Source organism: Homo sapiens, chromosome 2, assembly GCF_000001405.40.
Source record: "Homo sapiens chromosome 2, GRCh38.p14 Primary Assembly".
NCBI classification, from domain to species: Eukaryota; Metazoa; Chordata; class Mammalia; order Primates; family Hominidae; genus Homo; species Homo sapiens.
Window position 1 is genome coordinate 73,638,036 of NC_000002.12, and position 4,619 is coordinate 73,642,654.

At 49.4% G+C, this 4,619-nt stretch overlaps 1 protein-coding gene across 1 annotated transcript; it reads right to left on the minus strand.

Annotated features, from left to right (window-relative positions):
* Window positions 1–2,687: 2,687 nt before the first annotated feature.
* Window positions 2,688–4,387, minus strand: NAT8 (N-acetyltransferase 8 (putative)). Its single transcript, NM_003960.4, has 2 exons — window positions 4,283–4,387; window positions 2,688–3,667 (listed from the first exon to the last, which is right to left on the minus strand). The coding sequence occupies exon 2, from the start codon at window positions 3,591–3,593 to the stop codon at window positions 2,910–2,912; it is 684 nt and encodes a 227-aa protein (NP_003951.3). The 5' UTR covers window positions 3,594–3,667; window positions 4,283–4,387; the 3' UTR covers window positions 2,688–2,909.
* Window positions 4,388–4,619: the final 232 nt, after the last annotated feature.

Genomic DNA, 4,619 nt, shown 5'->3' on the forward strand with positions numbered 1-4,619 from the left:
TAACGTAGTTAGTAGGTAGGCAGACTGAAAACTTAACTTAGGAGGATGCTTCTTTAGCAATAGCTGAGTCTCAGCCAATCCCACTGGCCATATTTCAACCACTCACAGGCAGCCAACTATTCGAATCATGCTCAGATAAGGTAAACACCAAGCTGTAAACAATCTGGCTGTTTCTGTACCTCACTTCCATTTTCTGTATGTCACTTTCCTTTTTCTGTCCACAAATTTGCTTTGACAGCACAGCATCCCTGGTGTCTGTCTGTATCTGCTGTGATTCTGAGGGCTGCCCGATTTGCAAATTATTCATTTTTCTTGCTCAGTTAAACTCTGTGAAATGTAATTTGTCTAATGGATTTCTTTTAACAGCACTTATAATTAAAATGGAAAGAGGGTGTAAATATTTAGAAAACTTGCAGCCTGGCCATGTGATAGACAAGGAGGAATCCAAGCAGCCTGCTGAGCAACTATTTGCTAGAGACATTAGCATATCTAAAAGGGAGCCAGGTGCTAATATTCAAGACAGTGGGAAAAGGCCTCAGAGGCATTTCAGAAGGCCTCTCCTATCACAGGCCCACAGGCCTAGGAGGACTGAATGGTTTCAGAGACCAGGCCCAGGGCACCATTGCTGTATGTCACCTCAGGATGCTACTTCCCACATCCTAGCTTCTCCAGCTCCAGCTTTGGCTCAAAGGGCCCCCGGTGCAGCTCAGACCACTTCTTTGGAGGGTACAAGCCCTAAGCCTTGGGAGCTTCCATATGGTTGTTTTTTTTTCTTTTTTTGAGACAATCTTGCCATGTCACCCAGTCTGGAATGTAACGGTGCGATCTTGACTCACTGCAACCTCTGACTCCAGGGTTCAAGCGATTCTGCTGCCTCAGTATCCCAAGTATCTGGGATTGCAGGCATGCACCATCATGCCCAGCTAATTTTGTATTTTTAGTAGAGATGGGGTTTCACAGTGTTGGTCAGGCTGGTCTGCAACTCCTGACCTCAGGTGATCCACGTGTGTCAGCCTCCCAGAGTACTGGAATTACATGTGTGAGCCACCATGCCCAGCCTTCCATATGGTTTTAGGTCTGCAGGCTTGCAGAACGCAAGAGTGAAGGAGGCTTGGGAGCTTCCACCTAGATTTCAGAGGATGTATCAAAAAGTCTGGGTGCCCTGACAGAAGCCTGCCACAGGGGCAGAAACCCACAGAGAACCTCTACAAGGACAGAGCCATGGGAAAACATAGGGTTGGAACCCCATACAGAGTCCCCACTGGGACATTGCCTAGTGGAGCTGTGGGAATGGGGCCAATGCCCTCCAGACAGCAGAAAGGTAGAGTCACCAGCAGCTTGCAACCTCAGCGTGGAAGACCCACAGGCATTCAATCCCAACCTGTGAGAGCAGCCATGTGGGCTGCACCCAGCAAAGCCATAGAGACAGGGCTGCTCAAGGCCTTGAAAGGCCACTCCACTCACCAGTATGGAGTTACGGAAGATGATTTTGGAAGTTTCAGATTTAGTGTTTGCCCTGCTGGGTTTCAGACATGTGTGGGGCCTCTTGCCTCTTTCTTTTGGCCAACTTCTCCCTTTTGGAATGGGAATGCCTACCCAATACCTGTAACACAATTATATCTTGGAAGTATGTAACTTGTTTTTGATATAACAGCCTCATAGGTGGAAGGAATTTGCCTTGAGGCTCAGATGAAACTATGGATTCTGGACTTCTGAGTTGATGCTGGAACAAGCTGAGACATTGGAGAACTATCAGGAAGGGATGGTTTCATTTTGCAATGTGAGATGACATGAGATTTGGGGGTAAGGGGCAGACCAATATAGTTTAGATGTTTGTTCTCTCCAAATCATATGTTGAAATATGACCCCCAATGTTAGAGGTGGGGCATAGTGGGAGGTGTTTCGCTCATAGGGGTGGATTCCTCATGAATGGGTTGGTGCTTTGTCCATGATAATGAATGAGTTCTGGCTCTATTAGTTCACATGTAAGCTGGTTGTTTGAAAGCACCTAGCATCTCTCTTGTGTGCTGTCTCGCCATGTGACACATCTGCTCCCCCTTCAGCTTCCAACATGAGTAAAAGATTCCTGAGGCCCTCACCAGAAGCAGATGCCTGCACTGTGCTTTTTGTACAGCCTGCAAAACCATGAACCAAATACACCTCTTTTCCTTATAAATTACCCAGTCTCAGGTATTCTGTTATGATCCCCTGGAAGAGTTATACTACTTCCAGGTCTAGCCCATGGTAAATCCCACACTCCCCTCTGAGGCCACCTTCTTCCCTCTGCAGAGACCCTGGAGTTAGAGTGGATTGGTTGTGTCTCTGGCCCCAATTCTTCTCCCGAGGCTGCATTCCACCCTTTTGCTATGTGACTTTGCAGCCCTTCTCACTGCAGAGACAGGTTCCTCTCCTTGAGTTTGGGGAAGATGCAACACATGCAGGGGTTTGAAAACACATTTGTTTGTTTCTGCTTTTGTTTTTGCTCCTCTGCAATTTCCTTGAAACCATGCCTGAGGTAGCCTGTGGGAAAACGAAACAGCACCATTGACCTAGTCTTTCAGCCAATCCCACTGCATTTGTACAATGCAGTCTGACACCAGAGGAACTGCCCAGCCAAGCTCAGGCAAAATTGCTGACTTCAGACTCATGAACTAAATAAATATTTGTTTCATTTGGTGGTTGTTCTTATGCAACATTATGCTGGCACTAGAAAAATGAAACAGATGGGAATCAAAAAGACTGAATGAAGCAGAAACCCAGAAGCTACCCCACAAGCAATCACATGGGACTCAGATGTGAATGGACAATAAGCTTTTATTGCATTGAAAGGTCATTGCAGTGAAAGGTTGGGGATTGCTTGCTGCTACAGCTGAATGGATTCTATTCTGACCAATACACACAGAAAGAGATCACAGACTCCCTACCTTAGAAGAAGGGAGGTGGTAGATGAAATGAACTGTATGAAGAGCCACTAGCCTGGCCCACACACAGAAGAAGGACTGGCCCGTCTTCTTGAAGCCCATGCTCTGGTAGAGGGCCATAGCAGAGAGCTGGATGGTGCCGGTGTCCAGGATAACTTCACTGTAGCCCTGGTCCCGGGCAAACTGGAGGACAGTCCTGACCAGGGCTTTTGCTATCCCCTGACGACGGTGCTCACTGTCCACAAAGAGATGAAACAGCTGCAACCGCTTCTCCCTCAAGGTGGGATCATCAACAGGCAGAGCTCCTACCATGCCCACCACCTTCTCTTCAGACTCAGCCACCCAGAAGCAGGAGCCACGCTCACTCAGGTAGGATTTGGTAATGTCAGACATGTCTGTGCACAATGTCATGTCCACATACTCCGTCCAGGGTTTTTTGGCAAGGAACCACAGGGCAGGGAAGAGGCTGATGCTGAACACGAGGGCTAGAAGCCAGGATCCAGAGACCAGGAGTAGGGCGAGGGGCCCCCCAAGTAAGAGTATGAGGGTTCGAGGCAGCTTCAGCAATTGCCGGAAGGTGGCTGGGGCATGCTCGGCCATCCCCCGGGAGAGCAAGCCCACAACCCACTGGCGGTCGCTCTCCTGGTATTTGCGGATGTGACAAGGAGCCATGGACAGACTTCTGTGTCTGAAATCTCTAAGTCCAGGAGACAGAGCTAGGCCTCCCTGCACGCCTTTACGTCAGACTGGGGAAGAGAGAGAAAATCATGTGAGTGCCTGCATGGCTCCCAGCCTTGCAGGAACAGGGAGACCTGCTCAAGGGTGTGTCTTTCCGCGTTTGCCCATGAGGAAGCAGGCCTCTGCCACTGGGAGAAGGTAGGGTCAGAAAGACCTGCATTGGAATCTGGTTCCATCCCTTTCTAGCTGTGTGACCTTAGGCATGTCACTTAACCTCTCTGAGCCTCCATTTCTTCAACTATAGAACAGGGGAGAAGAAAACCTGCCTTCTAGAGTTGTTTTGAAGATTGAATAAGATGCCTTCTATAAAGCCCTGGTAGATGAACTACCCACCGCTCTTCCTTTTTCTGTTTCCTTTTTCTGGCTCTCTCAGCTTCTCCGTGCATTGAGGGGGCACCTACCTCAGGCAGGCCACACGTGCAACCCTTTTGTCCTTCTCCAGGGACCATACATCGCAAAAATTCTCTGTCCAACACAAGTTTCAGGAAAGGCTCCCTCCAGCTTTATTGTAAGTTTTTAGGTTGCTGAAGTGGCATAAGAGCCAAGCATAAAAAACAGCCCAGCCTCCAGATCCCAAGGAAGGTGCATGCTCAGAGCACTGTCCTTCCACCCAGTCCCCTCACCTGTCACCACAAGAGCCTTGAGTGTCCAGGGAGCTTCAGCTCTCAGCCGCTCACTGGCATCCAGGAGATACCGTCTGGGGCTTGCTCACCCCTGGAAAGTAGACTGCCTGCCTTATTGCTTGGCTCCTGAATGTTTGGTAATCATCAACCCTAGGGTCAAAGAGCTGGGCTGTAACACAGCAGGGAGCCCAGTGTGCATTCCTCTTTGTGGTCAAAGGGAACGACCTGGAGGGGGAGACTCAGGGTCTGGAACCGCCTGGGTTCCTTGCCCTTCTGGAAGGCCTGCCACCTCTCTTGCCTGTTCAGGCCCCGTGCATCTCTCTGCCACCTGGCACAC